This window comes from Homo sapiens, chromosome 3 (assembly GCF_000001405.40).
Source record: "Homo sapiens chromosome 3, GRCh38.p14 Primary Assembly".
NCBI classification, from domain to species: domain Eukaryota; kingdom Metazoa; phylum Chordata; class Mammalia; order Primates; family Hominidae; genus Homo; species Homo sapiens.
Genome location: NC_000003.12, coordinates 115,141,830 through 115,161,217, shown reverse-complemented (window position 1 = coordinate 115,161,217; position 19,388 = coordinate 115,141,830). Strand labels below are relative to the sequence as shown.

Sequence of the window (19,388 nt, the reverse complement as noted above, 5' to 3'; positions counted from 1 at the left end):
CTCTGAAATGATTATCTGATTATTTTCTCAGTAAAAGGGGACCACCATGGGAACTAGATTTGAAAATAAAACAAAGAAATAAATATAATGGTCGTTCAGAACTAAATTGAGTGTAATATAGCCACTAGTCAGAAAAACTAAATTTATTATTCAGCCCAAATCACCAATTCACTACTTTAAATGATAGTATTGACTAAAAAAATAGAGAAAGTTTGAAAATGGCTTAAATAAATTAATTCTGTCACCCTTAATACCTAGTTAATGCCTATTCTATATGCTTCCATAGGATGATTATTATTTGTACTACATTGCAGGCTTCAAAGGAGGCTTGAGGCTTCCTCTTTCACCAAAACCATGAAATGAAGAAAGATTATGTAGATCAAGGTTAAAAGCATTGCTGGGTTCCAATGTTAAGGGCTAAAACTTCCAATATGGCAAAGGGGTTTGGCATCCCTGTGGCTTCATTTTTTACCTTGTTGTTATTGTTTTAAGAAATCTCCTCTCTTTGCTTTCTTCATGGGAGGATCCTACTTTAGGCTTTTCTTTTCTTCCATGCATCTATTATTGTTACAGGAACTTTAGCTCCTGTTTTCTTAAGAGTTTTCTTACCCTCTCCATACCTCCCTTGGCCTCTGCTGCTGCCACTCTCAGGCCCTAACGAATGGGCAGCACATTGTATCAAGGGAGTCAGACAAGCAGACCACAGTGTGATGATTAAAACTGAAATTGAAACAGAGATTAGCTATATTAGGTGATATTTCAACTAGCCTATGAAAACTAATCTCATGAGTCAATTCCATTCCACAATAAAGGATACCTCTACCATAATCTAAATGTCAGTCATAGTAAATTATTTGACATTACTCAAATTCTCTATGCTTTTAATCTCTCTAAGCCTCAGTTTCTCATTTGCATTAATGGAGACAGTAATTGTATCTAACTCATAAAGTAATTGTAAGAATTAATCATATATGTAGAACCTAGGCACTGAGTAAGCATTCAATAAATGTTAGGTATTAAAACATACCTCCATCATGGCCCTTATTAGACTATAATAATCACATTTCTTTCAGTAGACCATGTGATCCAAAAGGGCGAGCACCCTGACTAATTTGTCATTATACACTAAATATTTAGTGAAATTAAGAAATTCCCGGTCAGGCACGGTGGCTCATGCCTGTAATCCCAGCACTTTGGGAGGCCAAGGTGGGCAGATCACGAGGTCAGGAGATCGAGACCATCCTGGCCAACGTGTTGAAACCCTGTCTCTACTAAAAATACAAAAATTAGCTGGGTGTGGTGATGCATACCTGTAATCCCAGCTACTCCGGAGGCTTAGGCAGGACAGTCACTTGAACCCAGGAGGTGGAGGTTGCAGTGAGCTGAGATAGTGCCACTGCACTCCAGCCTGGCGACACAGCAAGACTCCATCTCAAAAAAAAAAAAAAAAAAAAAAAGAAGTTCCCAGAAAATATTTGTTCACTACATAAATAACTTAAGGTTACAGTTCAGACTTCTATTGGCCATAAGGTAGAATAGAAAAAAGACTTTTTTGAAAAAATATTTATACCATATAAAAATCATACTTGTCATCTTATATAAATGCAAATAATAATGTATTGAAGTGAAAATTTTAAGATATGTGCTCTGCATTCTCACCAAATCAAAGTGTTATATTACATTATAGTATAAACAAAAAAGCAAGCACCCATCCACTATGTATACATCAAAGTAAATCAAGGTGCTGATAACGAGAATCAGCAATTGGGTCTCTGGTCTTTCATCACTTTCCTTTGGTCTTCTATCTCTACGGAGGAAATCAAATTTACTTCTGGCATATGTATGTTCTAGATCTCTTACACCAGTAGTCCCCAACATTTTTGGCACCAGGGACCAGTTTTGTGGAAGACAGTTTTTTCATGGACAGGGAGAGGGGTGGGAGGATGGTTCCAGGATGAAGCTGTTCCACCTCAGATCATCAGGCATTAGATTTTTCATAAGGAGCAGGCAACCTTGATCTCTTGCATGTGCAGTTCACAATAGGGTTCATGCTTCTATGAGAATCTAAGGTTGCTGCTAATCTGAAAGAAGGTGGAGCTCAGAGATAATGCGCAATCACCCACTGTTCACCTCCTGCTTGTGCAGCCCAGTTCCTAACAGGTCATGGACCAGTACCAGTCCTCAGCCCAGGGGTTGGGGACCCTTTCACACTGCAGTGAAGAAATACCCAAGACTAGGTAATTTATAAAGAAGACAGGTTTAATTGACTCCACATGGCTGGGAAGGCCTCAAGAAACTTACAATCGTGGTGGAAGGCACCTCTTCACAGGGCAGCAAGAGAGAGAAGTGCCAAGTGAAGGGGGAAGAGCCTATTATAAAACCATCAGATCTTGTGAAAACTCATTCAGTATCATGAGAACAGCATGGCAGTAACCGCACACCCCCCCACCCATGATTCAATTACCTCCCACTGGATCACTCCCATGACACACGGGGATTATGGGAACTATAATTCTAGATAAGATTTGGGTGGGGACGCAGCCAAACCATATCATTCCACCCCTGGCTCCTCCCAAATCTGACATCCTCACATTTCAAAATACAATCATGCTTTTCCAACAGTCCCCACAAAGTCTTAGCTTATTCCAGTATTAACCAAAAAATTCAAGTCCAAAGTCTCATCTGAGACAAGGTAAGTCCCTTCTGCCTACGAGCCTGGAAAATTGAAAGCAAGTTAGTTACTTCCTACATAGAGTGAGGGTATAGGCATTGAGTAAATACACCTGTTCCAAATGGGAGAAATTGGCCAAAACAAAGGGGCTACAGGCCCTATGCAAGTCAGAAATCCAATAGGGCAGTCATTAAACCTTAAAGTTTTAAAATGATCTCCTTTCACTCCATGTCTCACATCCAGATGATGCTGATGCAAGAGGTGGTCTCCCATGGCCTTGGGCAACTCTGCCCCTGTGGCTTTGCAGGGTACAGCCCTCCTCCGGGCTGCTTTTACAGGCTGGCATTGAGTGTCTGTGGCTTTTCCAGGCATGTGGGGCAATCTGTCAGTGGATCTACTACTCTGGGGTCTGAAGGACGGTAGCCCTCTTCTCACAGCTCCACTAGGCAGTGCCCCAGTGGGGACTCTGTGTGGTGGCTCCCACCCTACATTTCCCTCTGCACTGCCCTAGCAGAGGTTCTCCATGAAGGCTCCACCCCTGCAGCATACCTCTGCCTGGACATCCAGGTATTTCCATGCATCCTCTGAAATCTAGGTGGAGGTTCCCCATCCTAATTCTTGACTTCTGTGCACCTGTGGGCCCAACACCATGTGTAAGCTGCCAAGGCTTGAGGCTTGCACCCTCTGAAGCAATGGCCTGAGGTATACCTTGGTCCCTTATAGCCACAGATGGAGCTGAAGCAGCTGGGATGCAGGGCACCATGTCTGGAGGCTGCACAGAGCAGGGGGACTCTGGGCCTGGCCCAGGAAGCCATATTTCTCTCCTAGGTTTCCAGGCCTGTCATGGAAGGGGCTACGCAAAGGTCTCAGACTTGCCCTGGAGACATTTTCCCCATTGTCTCGGTGATTAACATTGAGATCCTCATTGCTTATGGAAATTTATGCAGCCAGCTTGAATTTCTCACCAGAAAGTGAGTTTTTCTTTTCTATCACATCATCAAGCTGCAAATTTTCCAAACTTTTATGGTCTGCTTCCTCTTGAACACTTTGCCACTTGGAAATTTCTTCTGCCAAATACCCTAAATCATCTCTCTCAAGTTCAAAGTTCCACAGATCTCTAGGGTGGGGGCAAAAGGCCACCAGTCTCTTTGCTAAAGCATAGCAAGAGTCACCTTCCTCCAGTTCCCAACAAGTTCCTCATCTCCATCTGAGACCACCTTAGACTGGACTTCATTGTCTGGATCACTATCAGCATTTTGGTTAAAGCCATTTAACAAGTCTCTAGGAAATTCCAAACCTTCCCACATCTTCTTGTCTTCTGAACCCTCTAAGTCTCTAGGAAGTTCCAAACTTTCCCACATTTTCCTGTCTTCTGAGCCCTCCAAACTGTTCCAACCTCTGCCCGTTACCCAGTTTCAAAGTCACTTCCACATTTTTGGGTATCTTTATAGCAGCACCCCATTACCTCGGTACAAATTTACTGTATTCATTCATTTTCATGCTGCTCATAAAGACATACCTGTGACTGGGGAATTTATAAAGGAAAGAGGTTGACACACAGTTCCATGTGGCTAGGGAGGCCTGAGGTAACTCAGAATCATGGCAAAAGGCACCTCTTCACAGGGCAGCGGAGGAGTGAAGTGCCAACCAAAGGGGGGAAGAGCCCCTTATAAAACCAACAGATCTCATGAGAACTCACTATCACAAGAACAGCATGGGGATAACCAGCCCAATGATTCAATTACCTCCCACTGGGTCCCTCCCATGACATAATGGGTTTATGGGAACTAAAATTCAAGATGAGATTTAGGAGCAGACAGTCAAACCATATCACCTGTCTTACGCTACTGATGGGGGGGACACTAAAATGTCTGAGGATTGAAAAGAAGTAGAAGAGGCAGGAAGGGCTCTGATTATTTATATACTCCTGAATCTGTTTTTTGTAAGGAACCACTCCTTTGCTTGTCCCTCAGATCAAAATCATCCCAATTTCCTAAAAATATAACTCTCAGAAGCTTTTGAACCAGAGCAGCTCCATCTTGAATCAGGGCTGGGTACAATGAAGCTGAGACGGGCTGGGCTGCATTTCCAGCAGGTTAGGCATTCTTAGTCACAGGATGAGATAGAAGGCCGGCACATGATACAGGTCACAAAGACCGCATTGATAAAACAGGATGCAGTAAAGAAGCCAGCCAAAACCTGCCAAATCCCAGATGATAATGAAAGTGACCTCCGGTCATCCTCACTGCTCATTATGTTAATTATAATGTATTAGCATGCTAAAAGACACTCTGGCCAGCACTATGACACTTTACAAATGTCATGGTAATGTCTGAAAGATATCATATATGTTCTAACCCTCAGTTCCAGGAAATCCCTGCCCCTTTCCTGGGAAACTCATAAATAATCCACCCCTTGTTTAGCATATAATAAAGAAATAACCATAAAAATGGCCACCAGTAGCCCCTGGGGGATATTCTATGAAGCAGCAGCCCTTCTTTTATTCCTTTATTTTCTTAATACACTTGCTTTCACTTTATTCTGTGAACGCACCTGAATTCTTTCTTGCATAAAATCCAATAACCCTCTTTCGAGTCTGGATCAGGACACCTTTCTAGTAAAATAACCAGTACAAGTGCTTACTTCTCACATACTTTCTTACTTACATACTTACTACTTCTTATATACTTTCAGTAATATTAGTTTTTCAATAAAATCCTTGGACATTTTTAAAACTCTGGGCTCCAAAACCAGTCTTCCGACTTATAATTCATCAGTACTGGCCAAAATAACAAACGTGTATGGATCCAGTGAATATTTTCCATTCAAAATGACAGCGCTGCAGCCTCACAATTTTGAATATTATTTGCAAAGAGTATAATCTATGAAAGCTTGGAGGAAATAGTAAAATTAGAAGGCAAGGGAAATATTTTTCATGGTGACCTTGTTTTAAAACTGGAAGGATACCTTTTTTCAATTTTGGGGGGTTTATGATCTCTCTAAATATGCCAATAAAACCAAGTTAAACATAATATACTTGTATATTCTTAAACCAACAAATTTATTGTATACCTGCAAAAGGTGTTATAAATAGTCATCATATATATTTTCTCAAAATGTCGAATCCTCAAACTTAAAAGTTTATTATTATTTTCCTTTGTAGCTTCAGTATTTTCCAAAGATTTTTATGAGGATGGTTATTTAAATTTGGATCTCAGGAAGGCAACCTGTTTTGAAACTTTCAGTGTCCTTGGCATTTAGAATATCATTCACCCAGGGGCATTTCACAAACCTGGAAACACTGAAATTCTAAGATGTTGAAAAAACACTGGAGTTACTAAAAGAGATTTTAAACAAATCTTCTCTGGAGATTTAACACAGAGCAGGTTAATTTTCTGCACACATCATCTTGGGTATACAGTTTGCAAAAAGGAACTAGTCTCTTAAATTTCCTTTATGTTTTCCCCTACCAGGTGGTGATGTTTAGTATTTCTTTAACTAGAGGCATGATCTGCTTTTGACATGGGTTGGAAAGTTAGTGACCTCTGTCATAATGTAGATCCACATTCTTAAAAACAAAACAAGTTAGCAAAGGTCTTTTTGCTCCTTTCTGTCAATTACAAATAGACAAAAATAAATAAATCAATAAAATAGCTCTTTGTTAGAGAAAGGGCTTACTGCAGGGAGACAAAGAAGGACCTTGGTGGAGTTCATTGCTTTTCCTCTAACCCTAGCTTCCTGGCTGAAATTTTTGACGAGAATTTTCCATTCATGTGTGAGAAATATGTAATAAATCTTTGATAAATGGAGCTCTTTCCACGCTGAAACTTGTAGCATGACTTTGAAAAATTGTGGCCTGCTTTCTTAAAAGCATATAGTAATGTACAAATACTATTTGCCATCCCTGCTTCATCCACACCAACCCTCAAAGACGTACACATTAAGAAAAAGTCCAGAAATCCTTCAGTTACAGAAATTCAGTAGTTCAGTCCTTGGGTTATAGAATTGCAATATAAGAAAGATATACCCAAGGATTGTTGTTAAGACGTAGGGACTTGTGTCTAGAAAATTAAGTCCAATTTAAAAAATGATGGCCCGGTATTCCTTGGGCTTTTTGAGAGTGTAATAATAAGAGTGGTAACAGGCCTTCCGTGGTACGCTGAATAATAGCCCTCTCCCTCAAAAGATGTCAACATTTGAATCCTTGGAACCTGTGAATGTGTTACATGCTAAAAGGGACTGTGCAGATGTGAATAAGTTAAGGATCTTGAAATGGGGAAAATATCCTGGATTATCCAGGCGGGCCTAATGTAATCACAAGGATCTTCATAACAGAGAAGCAGGAGCGTTAGAGTCAAAGAAATTGATGAACTAACACACCAGACAGATAAGCGCTTTTCCTGGGTAAGCTGAATTTTTCAACTACTTTTTTCCCTGGGGGAGTATCTGTTGAGTCTGTGCAGGGACTGAGGGTAAGGCTTGCCATAAACAGAGGGACTCCAATAGCATAAAGAGGAACAAGTGAAACTTTTGATGCTTGTGTGATCTGGAACAAAGGCTCAAATTCATAAGTGGCAAGAGTAGAAGGACCACTCAGCTGAACCTAGCCCAAACTACTAACTTGGATAATCAGGAACATATAAAATGGCTGTTGTTTTGGAGTGGTTTGGAGTGCAGCAATAGATAAGGTACAAAATTTGAAAATTCCCCAAATGTAGGAATAGGATTCAGATGCATGTAGCTAAAACATCAAAAGCCAAACAACACAAAATTGTTGCAAATACAATTATATAAACAAGTACAAAAATAAAATAATCTGCTCACAAGGAAATATAGTACTGTTATAGACACCAATTATGGTCACTTTTTAAAAAGTGATTTATAACTAAAATAACTATGCAGATTTTATATAAATAAATTTGACAATCTAGAAAAAAAGGAATATGTTTCTAAGAAAAATTAAATGATTAAAAGGACTCAGAAAGAGATTGAAAATTACGGTGACCAAAAACTATAGAATTAAGAAGACAAGATGTATCTTAAAAAAAAAAAAAAAAAAAAAAAAAAAGAAGAAAGCCCATTGGCCAAGATGGTTTTACAGATGAGCTTTATCAGCTCGAGAGCACTGTACATGACAAAATTCTCCTGACTAATTCTATGAAGCTAGCCTAATACAAATCCCAAAATTGGATGAAGATTGCACAGGTCCATCCCACTTAGGAACTCAATCTCACTTATAAAGTCAGCAAATTCCAAAATAAAAATATTAGTAAATTAAACACATACTCATTAAAATAGTAATAAAACTAAAGAGTTTTATCTAGGAATGGAAGGATGGTTCATCAGTAAATCTATCATTATAATTCAGTCTATTAACAGAATAAATAATAATTATGTTTATTTTATACATTTAGAAAAAGTATTTGATAAAATTTAATATTCATTGGTAATTTTTAAAATACAATGCAAGCTGTGAATATATAGAAACTTTTAATCAAATTTTCAGCCAAAAACTACTTAGAGATGTGATATCAAAAATTCAGAAATAAGACAAAGATGCATACTCCCATAAATACTAGTCAATACTCTGCAGTTCTGGCCAACTGTATTAGTCCGTTTCCATGCTGCTGATAAAGACATACCCAAGACTCTGCAATTTACCAAAGAAAAAGGTTTAATGAGACTTACAGTTCCACATGGCTGGGGAGGCCTCACAATCATGGTGGAAGGCAAGGAGGAGTAAGTAACATCTTACATGGATGGCTGTAGGCAAAGAGAGAGCTTGTGCAGAGAAACTCCCATTTTTGACACCATTGGATCTTGTGAGACCCATTCACTATCATGAGAACAGCAGGGAAAAGACCCACCCCAATGATTCAATCATCTCCCACCGGCTACCTCCCATAACACGTGTGAAGTATGGGAGTTACCAGATGAGATTGGAGTGGGGACAGACAGCCAAACCATATCACCAACAAAATAAGAAAAAAAACAATAGGTAACAAACACTGAAAAGAGAGAAAAAAACTATCACCATTAGGAGACAAAATGGATGTCAACAACCAAGAGAATCAACTAATAAATGATAAGTAATAAAAGTTCATAAAGATGTATGGATACAAAATTTTTATGTAAAAATAAGTTTTCTCACACAGGAGCAGTAAGAGAAAATGTAATGGAAAAAATCTCCTTTTTACAATTGTGTAAAAAAAAACTGTAAAACATTTATAATGATTTTGAAACACTGTACATCTACGTAAATAAAACTGTACAATTATTTATAGACATCAACTAAGACTTACAAATGTCAAATTCCAAGTGATACAAACCCAATTCAAACAATCCTAACCAACTGAAAGAAATGTCATTGGCTTGTGGTAATAGGAATTACAGGGGTTACAGCTGGTCTTAGGCACAGCTGGGTCTTAAGAAAGTCCCTGGGCCTTTGTTATGCTGGACATTTGTTTTATTTATCCTGTGCTCCTTTCACGGACTGCTCCTCCCCAAATCCACTTATGTAATTCCAGTAGAACTACTAATTACAGTTCCTACCTTCTATTTACAGATTGAACACATAATCTAGTTCCTAAAGTACCTAAAATTGATTTGTGTATGCTGTATAAACTAAAGATCCAAGTTCTTTGTTCTTCCATTTCCCCAATACCACGTATTGAATAGTCTCTTTTCTCCCAGTAATCTGTGTTGCCAATCTGTAACATAACCAAACTGACATTTATGCATGAACTGATTTCTGGGTTCTGTTCTGTTTCCATGTTCCGTTCATCTAATCAGTATACCTCACCATTAATAAATTTCATCTTTTCTTTTTCCTTTTCTCCTATTTTCCTTTCTATAACATCTCATTCTTCAGTCAATTCCATTATATTCTCATTATGTGAGTGAGGGTTTGTTTGAAACCGATCTTGGTTCTGATGTGAATTTCCCATGTAAATCAATGGCTTGGTGTAGAAGAGAAAACTGAATGGAAATGAAAATGTGGGTGTACAGAAAACCAGGAAAACATAAGCCCCTGCAAATCCAGTGAAATAAGGGCCTCAGATTTCTACCATAATGTGGATTTGGAGGTTAAAGGCAAATTTTATATAAGTTTCCAGGTGCAGAATAACTTGTCTCACATCTGAATTACACAAGGATTTATAGAAACCTCTTTTAAGTTGCTTTGGATGTAAATTGTCTAATTTTAATTTTTTGCACATTTTTCTGACAAATTTTGAGGTCTAATTCAATTTTCTTTCATTACGAAAAGACTTTTTCCTTTAATATTGTTTTATTGGCTGTTATCTGCTCAGGTTATTAATGAGCTCATGTATAGAAAAGTAGTACCTGTCTTTAGGCAAATGGCAAAAATATGAAGTGACATGTATTTCATATGTGGTTGTGTGTGTGTATGGATGGAAAATTCTCTAACAGATACTGAAAAAAAAATCTCAAAAGTTACTGCTTCCCTGATTTTGTACTTCCACTCTTCAAGGTGTACTATTTATTCTATTATTCTTTCCATTTGGCTAGTGTATATATATATATGTGTGTGTGTGTGTATATATATATATACATATACACACACTACATATGTATACATGTATACATATGTAGTGTGTATATGTATATATATATATACACACACACACACACATATATATGTCTCATTAGCGCCCTTATTAAAATCTAAGTCCCTGGGGAGCAAGACTTGATTTGATTAACTTTTGAATTCAGTATAGTGATCAGTTCAGGGTGTTACAAATATTTTCAGCTGCTTAAGAGTTAGGCATTCTTTGCTATGTATTCCTGTGCTGTATATGCCATATGTGTATGCAGCATAATTCATCCCTTTATTTCTCTCTTCCAAGACACAGTCAAGTCTTTGGAGAAAAATGCCAATTCTTCTGCTTAGTTGCTAAGTTCCTGGCATCTTAAATGTCCAATAATTATAGTTAGTATGAAGATACACACTTAGTACTTGTTGAATGAGTAAATAGTATAGTGGAAAGAGGCAGACAGACTTGAGTTTGAAAACAAGCTCTGCTACTTGTGACGCTGGATAAAGTATTCGAAGTCTGTGTCCTCATTAGTAACGTAAGTAGATTACATTTGCTACTAGTTTGGCCTCTTCTGGAGCCTTGGGAACTGTAAACTATAATCTGTGAAGGCAATAGGTAGACTAATGGACTAAAAGAAGTATAAAAGTCTTAAAATTCTTCTCTAAGCAGTCACTTGTATTTTCATTTTTTATCAATCTTGCCTTCTTCATCATCTTCCCTTCCGTGTTTTTGAGACGGAGTCTCGCTCTGTCGCCAGGCTGGAGGCAGTGGTGCAATCTGGGCTCACTGCAACCTCCAGCTCCCGGGTTCAAGAGATCCTCCCGCTTCAGCCTACCGAGTAGCTGGGACTACAGGCGCGCGCCACCACACCCAGCTGTTTTTTTGTATTATCTTCCCTTCCTTTCTTACCACATCTTGCTTATTTTATTCTTTTTCTCAATTCTGCTATTTGCTAACCAAGAAAACATCTCTCTTGATCCTTGACATAATTATGGAATTCTTGGTACATCTTTTGGGGTGTTTGTATCTGAGTGTGATCAAGGTATGTAGATGTGTAATGTAAATATGAAAATTGAGGGATTTCTTAGAGGCAGAAAGATTCTAATTCCAGTTTCTAATATCACACGAACAGGACATAACTACTACCTTAAATAGGGGCAGTAATACCTAGGGCTTCACCTTATCATTATTATTTGAATTAGAATATCTTGCATTGCTTTCCTAGTGTGCCCTATCATAATCTTAACTCTCATGCCAATAGGTTGAATAATACCTTTAAAATTTTGTTGAAAACAACAAGTTTTAAGAATGACTTGGAAGGAGTGGTCATTGCTCCTTGGAGAAGTTATAGGAGTAACTGTGTGAACGCCAATGTTAAATTTTACTGATTTTTCTCATGCGCTGCTGATTGTTCTGTATGGAATACTTATTATTCTTACTAAATCACTTTTTTTCTTTTTCATTTTTTTCTTTTTTTGTGAGACAGGGTCTTGCTCTGTCACCAGGCTGGAGTACAGTGGTGCGATCTCGCCTCACTGCAAGCTCTGCCTCGAGTTCCAGCGATTTTTCCTGCCTCAGTCTCCCTAGTGGCTAGGATTACGGGTGTGCGCCACCACATCCGGCTAATTTTTGTATTTTTTAGTAGAGACGGGGTTTCACCAGGTTGGCCACGCTACTCTCAAATTCCTGACCTCAAGTGTTCCGCCTGTCTTGGCCTCCTAAAGTGTTGGGATTACAGGTGTGAGCAGCTGCACCCAGTCAATATCACTTTTTAGCTAAGATTTATATATAAGTTTAAAAGTGTTTTGGCTTCCAAACTCACTAGCAATTCCCAGACTTCAAAATTGACACCACACACAGTAATTTTCTGGATTCTCAAAGCCTCATACATATAATCCTCACAAGATAGCTTTAATAGTATTAATGAGGTCAAGGCCCTTACTTTTTTTTTTTTCACCAGGGCCAATTTATTTTGCTTAGTTTCTGTCAAAGACCTCTAACCAGGCATCTTATGTGAAAGCATGCTGTACGTTCCAAAGAAGCCTGGGTTAAAATCCAGATGACTTAAGTCTATTGGAAATTATACATCAAATCCATGTCCTAGAAACAATGTCATTTTCAAATCCCAAGTACAGTGTATTCTTTGCATGCATGGTATTTTTGATAAAGTCTCTTATTTTGTGACAAAATATTGCTATATCAGCTGCCTAAAAAAGTGCAACTTAGTTTGGCAGTAATTATTTTTTTTTCTTTGTATAGTGAAAAGCGATTTCCCCAACCCTCCCATCTTGGCCCTTGTAAGAAATCCTTTTTAGGAATCTATCCTGGGCTTCCTGCTGGACTTCAGCCTCATTTTTTTCTCCAATGCCTGAGTACTGGACCAATATTTGGTAAGAATTTGGCTCTGGGGAGTGCTATGTTGAATGACAAATGGTTGAGGACGAAGATTTTATTGAAGCATTTGAACCACACTTAATTTTCCGTGTTGCTTTATTTGTTCCTTTTACCACCCAGGATATTGAATTCTGTGGGCTCTGGTTGAGTCGTTGGTACTTCAGGCGTTCAGTAATAAGAAACATAATCTGCTTTTTCCGGCAGGATAATAAATCTCATTTATATTAAGGGAGGCTTACTCCAAACTCTTTTACATAGTATTTTTCTAAATCTTCTGCATGAACAAATTCTTCCTTGAGCCCTAGCACTGGGGACCCGGTCTGGCAACCTGCGCCCCATTCCGCGGGAATCAAGCGTGACCCGGTGCGGCCTTGCGCGCTGCCGCCAGCCAGACCCTCCCTCCGGCTTTCCCACCCACCGCCCGGGATCCAGCCTCCATCCCGCTGCCTCAGCTGTCCAAGACAGCGACACCCCCCTCTCCGCTCCCGCGGCTCCCCCGGCGCAGCTCGCCGCGCCAGACAGCGGGTAACCGCCGCCTCCGCTGGGGCATCCCGGCTCCACAGGCCCAGCGCGCTCCAGACACCTGCCTCTCACTGGCCACCGCCGCTGCCCCTCACCCCGCAGCCCTCTCGGCAATTGGCCCCAGGCCGCCGCTCGTCATCCTCAGCCTTCTCCTAGAGTACCGCCTCCGTCGCCGGGTCATTTAAGTTTATCACAAATAAATAAATAAAGGAGGAAATAGAAATGCGTAGAAAGTAAAAGCAGTAGGGGGTGGGGGAGATGGGGCGTGGAGGAAAAGGAGGGAGGAGCGGAGGAGTAAGCAACCTAACCTGATTGCGCCTGTGTCGACCAATCATGGCTCACTCCAGTCCGGTCTGACGGGCTCCCTGAACCAATAGCCTTCCACCTCCCGGATCACTGAACAACGAGATACGATTGACCTTTTCAGAAAGGGTGAAGGTGCGGCGGGGGGAGGGGGTTGTGGGGGTGGGCGAAGTGGAAGGATTGTCCACCAATCGCCTGTTAATACTTCTCTGAGCGAAGTTTCCGCGTCCCAATGGATGTTTGAGATAGCGGATTGGGCCTCTTTTAGCCCAATCGAAGGTGACAGAGATGAGGGAAGAGGAAGAAAGGGGCGGGGACGGGGGGGCGGAGGGGAGAAGGAAGAGTGCATTTTGTTTATGGGCGGCAACCTCACGAGGGGCGTCCCATTCTCATTGGCTCACTGAAGCCAAGATTGGCGTGAGAGCTATCCTATAGCGGGGAGAGATAGAGGGTTCGCGGAGTGAAGCGTCCAATGTGGGCCTTCTGCCGAAGAAGTAGGGGCGGGGGGAAGTTTAGGAGTTGAGGAAAGAAGATTAAAGAGCGCGAGGAGGTAATGCCACAAACTCTAATTTGTTGTGGGACGGGCGGGAGAGAGGGAGGAGTGTGTGCGTGCCGAGGGGGATGAGGCGTCTGCGAGGCGCCTGGAGTGGGGGGCGGCGGGACTGGGAAGGAGGGGAGCGGGGTGGGGTTGGGGGAGCGAGTTACAGAGCGGCGAGCCAGCGGGCCCTGAGCTGGATGAGCGCGCGCGCCCCCGCGCCCCGCCCCGCCCCGCCCCGCCCGCGCCCCCTCCCCCGGCGCCCTTCTTAGCGCCCGGCGGCTGCCTCGCCCGACCCGGCGGGGAGGTGGGAGGGAGGCGCGGGAGGGTCGAAGGGTGGCGGGGCGGGCGGGACGTCCCGCAGCTGGAAACGTGTCTTCTGCCTTCTTCTCTCTACTCCCTGCGCCTGGAGCCGCTGCTTCCAAGAAGAGGAGCTGAGGGGGACTAGCCGGGGCTCAGGAGCTGCTAGAGGCGCCCGCTTGTCTTCTGCCCCCTCCCTCCTCGCCCTCCCCCGCTTGCCGTGGCTCTCGCGGTCTCTGGAGCGTCTTCAGAGAACTGGGGGGCAGGAGGTGTCCTGGCCCCACAGCCGCTGGATGTCTCTCCAGACGCCGGAGCTCCCGGCCCCCGCCTGCTTCGCTTCTACGACTAGAGAGGAGGGGGCTTGGGAAGGGAAGACACACCTTTCCTTCTTTCTCTTCTTTGGGCCACTTCGGAAACATTAAAACATGTTAACACTTTTTGATTCCTGATATAAAAATGGTTGGAAGGTTCTTGAAAGTTTAAAACAAATGCCGTCTCTCGTACACTGTTTAATGTATTCCTGTCTGTGTGGCTTTTGGGTCCTCCCCCCACCCCCCGCCCCCAGCTGTTATCCTTTTTAAGGATGCTGAAGAGGCAGGAGGCAGGGATTTTCTAAAAGTTCTATTGATAAACACACTTGCACAAACATATGCTAGGCACACACACAAACTAAACATTAGCGAAAAACACAATATGGCGTACAGCTACGGTACCTAGCGCGGTAATCCGCTGATCTCTCACTCCGAACTGGGTTGAATGAGGTCAGTAGCAGGATGACAGCTCTCCAATGAAAATCTGAATGAATCAGGAAGTAGTTTGGAAGCTTGCGGGTGTAGTACTGTCCTCAGAATCAGCATTGGCCAAACCTAAGTTGAACATGTTACCTTTCTAGACATGTGAAAATCTTCTCCACTGTTTTTTCTATTAAAAATACCAAAAGGGTGCTAAAGTCAAGTTTCCTCACTGCGTGGCGGTGTATACATTTCAGCTAAAAAAATTATAGAGGCCATTCACCCAATGTTTTCAAGTGAACGCTATTCTGAAGTTACTGTTGTAACTTGTTGCCATTGAAAGTTTTAAAACACAATTACCATTTTATAAATAAATAGCTGTAGACACTAAATTTAAGTGATAACCAGTCATCTTTAAATTTATAATGGTTTGTTTTCATTTCTGTTCATGCTCCCAATCCCAAGTACCCTTTGCTATTTTGTGGAAATATTTATATAGATCCCCCTCCACTCCCGGTCACATACAGTCAGCCCTTCCTGTGCCTGGGTTCTGCATCTGTGGATTTAACCAGCTGCAGATCAAAAATATTTTGGGTGTGGGGGAATAGATGGAATAGAATATATATAGTTTTTTTCTTGCCACAATTCCCTAAACAATACAGTGTAACAACGATTTATTAATACATGGCATTTACTTGTATTAGGTGTTATAAGTAACCTAGAGATGATTTAAAGTATGTGGGAGAATGTGATTAGGTTAAATGCAAATACTACACTATTTTATGTAAGGGACTTGAGCATCTGTGGATTTTGGTTTCCTAGAGAGGTCCCAGAACCAATCTCCCATGGATACTGAGGGTCAACTGTAAGTTTGTCCAGTCAAGATGTGGCTACTTTTTGCTTTTTTGCTTTAAAATGAAGAATCTGTATTTTTCTAGTGAAAGAAAAAAAATTACATTGATTTTCATGCCTTTGTTCTTTGTGATTCTTAGAATATATCAAAGTTGTTGCACACATAGTGCATGGTGATATCCCTGTGCCATCTTTCCAGTAGTCTCCCAGGAAAGCTTTTGAAATTGCCCTTGAGGAATTGCTGATGTAACTGTTCAGTACTCAAGGCTTAATTTTCAAGATTGGGGTTTTGATTTTTATGGAGCTCAATTTTGGAGGGCCTTAGGTTTGGGGACACATGGTGTTGAAGTAAACAGGTGAGAAGAAGAAAAGTGAGATTTCTAGAACTATATTAGCTGCTCAGTGAGTTGGGCAATTGGATATTTTTGGTTTTATGATTTCAGATTTTATAGACCAGTGGAATACAGGCCTTGTGCATATGAAGATCAGGTGACAAGTTTGCTGCCTACCAGCCTCCACAGCAATATGCCCTTTCACGGTGAGGTCCTAATTTTAACAAGCTAAAGAAAGTATCAGGTTAAAAATTGTCAAATTTTATCCATTTCCAGGAAGAAGTCTTTATGCTTACCCATCTAGGCCCGTGTTTTAAGATTACTACAAAACCAAGAAAATGCACATATAGGTCATGTGTACATTGACTAGCTACTAAAAGAAAATACGAGATTAAATGGAATACTAGAGGAAAGAGAAACTTTCATGTGAGGGCTATAATTGGGGAAGGGGGTGTTTAGAACTACCAGTTGATGTGATGCCAGTTTCTTCTATAATTGGATCAGAAAGTTTTTGAGGCCCGCAAACATCTAATTCCTCTTGTTGTCCTGTTAATAAGAATTTGACTACTTGGTATAGGAAGAAAATCTAAGGAAAAAATATTTTAAGCGAATCATTTTTGTTGCATTAGTGAAAGTTTTCAGAAGACTTTTTAGACAAATTGGACTTTCTAGTAAAAAGGCTAGTCTGAATAATTAGGTAAATTGGACTTTCTAGAAAAAAAGGCCAGTCTGAATAATTAGGTTGTTTTAGAAGGGCAATAAAAGCTACAGCTAAGTTCCTGCGATCTATAATTTATAAAATAATTACATATTATTTTGAATAACTTCACAGAATCAGTGGCAAGCAGAGACTTCTTCAAAAACATTTGGAATACGGAAGTAGAGATTGATGGGCTTTGCTTTAGTCTCTGAAATAATCATATTTTTCTGAAATGGATGGTTAAATTTATCATATTGTTCTAGACACTTGGAGTGTAATAATGAACAAGAGAGAAAATTGCCTGCCCTTGTGGAGCTTACATTCTAATGTCACACACACTTTGTGCATTTTAGATTGTTAGGGGAGGAGATTTTTTAATGAAACTTTAAAACCTAGCTGCTTTCTTGTCTTAGGAACTACAGTTTGAAAGAGCCTACAGAAGTTTGAGAAGGAGGAAGGTGTTTACCAGTTGGCAGTGATAGGAAAGAAAGATCTTAGTTTATTTCTTATTTGTACCTTTTGTTATTGTCATGAAACTTTCTCCATATATTTCAGTTGGTAATTTTAACAGATAGGGATTTTTTTCATGATTTTAATAATGTCTTTGAAATTAATAAAACGTTGCTTTATATTAAAAAAATCTTGTGTCTTGAAAGTTACTATAAAATTCCTACATAGTATTATCCCGTTAGCAAAGTATGGTAAAACAAAAGCTAGAATATCTGTTAATTTTTGGTTGGGATTTGTTTTTAGGAACATATCTGAAAAATCAAGTACCTAAATCTTTTTCAGTTCTGGGTTTCTTTTTCGTTTTTTGAGATGGGAATCTCCTTTTATTGCCCAGGCTGTACTTTAACTCCTGGGCTCAAGTGATCCGCCCTCCTGCCTCAGCCTCCTAGTAGCTGGGACTAAGGTGCATGCCACCATGCCTAGTTTCAGTTGTGATTTTATCAAGAGAAGGTGAAAATTTATTGTAATTAGTTTATAGGCGACATTAAAGAGGAGAGACCTGCAAAAAATGCTTTGTTATTTAAACCATTTTTTCAAAAGCATTTGATTGGCACTTTTCTGCTTTAATAGACTTATTTGTAATGCAAGAGGAACATTACAGAAGATTTTAGCAATACTTTAATCATTTAGTCTGTAGGTGTAAAAATCCTGGGTTTCTAATAGAAGGAAAGTTGGTACCTGGTTAAATGAGTATATGATTTAATGCTGAGATTGTGACTTCAAGTAGTGGGTGTCTCACCTTTCCAAAACCTAGTTCATAGTTCTCAAATAACAGTTTTTCCTTTTTAATTTTTTTTCCCATCTGTCATGGTGAGTCTTACTTTGTTAGCCAAATACAAGTTTAGTTCTTAAGTGGAATAACTTTTTTTAATACAATCCTCCCTCCTCCAGCCCTCCCATCCTGTGCCGTGGAGGGTTTGTCACGCTTATACCTACATTAGATCTCTATTTATGCTAATTTGGAACATAATCAGCCTCTTCCAGGAAGGGTACATATTAATGCACTTTAGAGCAGTTTGTGATTGCCTCTGGCTATTTGTATACGGACTTGCCAGCATCTGAAAACTATAAATAGGAAGATTTAGGAGGAAACAGACTTTATAACTAATGGAATACATTGTTTCAGTTGAATTTTTTTTTTTTTTTTTTGATGGAGTCTTGCTCTGTCGCCAGGCTGGAGTGTAGTGGCACAATCTTGGCCCGCTGCAGCCTCCCCTCCCAGATTCAAGCAATTCTCCTGCCTCAGTCTCCTGAGTAGCTGGGACTACAGGCGCGCACAGCCACGTCCTACTAATTTTTTTGTTATTTTTAGTAGAGACAGGGTTTCACCATGTTGGCCACGATGGTCTTGATCTCCTGACCTCGTGATCTGCCTGCCTTGGCCTCCCAAAGAGCTAGGATTACAGGTGTGAGCCACCGTGCCCAGCCTCAGTTGAATTTTTTTTAAAGAGCAAAATGGAAGAATGGCTAATTGAATGTTAAAAAGTAAGACCATTTCCTGTTTTCTGGTAAGGATGGTTGATCGATGTGTGTTTGCATGTGTGTGTGAGTATATATTTATAAATGAGCAGTTTTTGAATAAAGACATATCAATACTGGATAAATAATTCCAGTCCTGCCTGTGGTCCTTGACATGGAGTGTATTCAGGGTTCCCTGGTGATTTTGTTTAAGCCACTTTGTTACCAAAACTTTCCTATGGATAGCATAGAAACACAAGCTAATTAAATTTCTATAAATTTTATATTTTTGGGATGAAGTGTTATTTTGGAAGTATTTTTTTAAGCATGATTACCAGCCAACCTGTGAAATGAATGAAATCTGAAGTGCAGAGTTCATGGAACCTTATATCCACCTAAGATAGTTGAGTTTCAAGAAGGTATTTTTAACGGCAGAAGATGAAATCTTGACATCTATCAAGTTTTTATAGTAATAAAGTAAGCATGACTAAGTTTATTAATATTCATATTTGTAAGGTAAG

The 19,388-nt window shown here is 40.3% G+C and overlaps 1 protein-coding gene across 5 annotated transcripts in view, besides 7 other annotated features; it reads left to right on the top strand.

The window, feature by feature from the left end:
* Positions 517 to 586: an enhancer, noted in NCBI's record as "active region_20283". NCBI's record gives its function as "activates an Ori minimal core promoter by ATAC-STARR-seq in GM12878 lymphoblastoid cells {active_cell/tissue: GM12878}" and the evidence as "EXISTENCE:reporter gene assay evidence [ECO:0000049][PMID:35858748]".
* Positions 627 to 846: an enhancer, noted in NCBI's record as "active region_20282". NCBI's record gives its function as "activates an Ori minimal core promoter by ATAC-STARR-seq in GM12878 lymphoblastoid cells {active_cell/tissue: GM12878}" and the evidence as "EXISTENCE:reporter gene assay evidence [ECO:0000049][PMID:35858748]".
* Positions 12,935 to 13,154: a silencer, noted in NCBI's record as "silent region_14617". NCBI's record gives its function as "represses an Ori minimal core promoter by ATAC-STARR-seq in GM12878 lymphoblastoid cells {active_cell/tissue: GM12878}" and the evidence as "EXISTENCE:reporter gene assay evidence [ECO:0000049][PMID:35858748]".
* Positions 13,205 to 13,414: an enhancer, noted in NCBI's record as "active region_20281". NCBI's record gives its function as "activates an Ori minimal core promoter by ATAC-STARR-seq in GM12878 lymphoblastoid cells {active_cell/tissue: GM12878}" and the evidence as "EXISTENCE:reporter gene assay evidence [ECO:0000049][PMID:35858748]".
* Positions 13,715 to 13,884: a silencer, noted in NCBI's record as "silent region_14616". NCBI's record gives its function as "represses an Ori minimal core promoter by ATAC-STARR-seq in GM12878 lymphoblastoid cells {active_cell/tissue: GM12878}" and the evidence as "EXISTENCE:reporter gene assay evidence [ECO:0000049][PMID:35858748]".
* ZBTB20 (zinc finger and BTB domain containing 20) overlaps positions 13,930 to 19,388 on the top strand; it is an 832,789-nt gene continuing 827,330 nt past the window's right edge. For 4 of the 5 annotated variants that reach the window (NM_015642.7, NM_001348801.3, NM_001348800.3 and 1 more), the window contains exon 1: positions 13,930 to 13,999. The gene's annotated coding sequence lies outside the window, so the exon portion shown is untranslated. Of the gene's footprint in view, positions 14,000 to 16,310; positions 16,406 to 19,388 lie in introns of all 5 variants that reach the window. The other variant, NM_001348802.3, reaches the window with a different exon arrangement.
* Positions 14,195 to 14,464: a silencer, noted in NCBI's record as "silent region_14615". NCBI's record gives its function as "represses an Ori minimal core promoter by ATAC-STARR-seq in GM12878 lymphoblastoid cells {active_cell/tissue: GM12878}" and the evidence as "EXISTENCE:reporter gene assay evidence [ECO:0000049][PMID:35858748]".
* Positions 15,145 to 15,254: an enhancer, noted in NCBI's record as "active region_20280". NCBI's record gives its function as "activates an Ori minimal core promoter by ATAC-STARR-seq in GM12878 lymphoblastoid cells {active_cell/tissue: GM12878}" and the evidence as "EXISTENCE:reporter gene assay evidence [ECO:0000049][PMID:35858748]".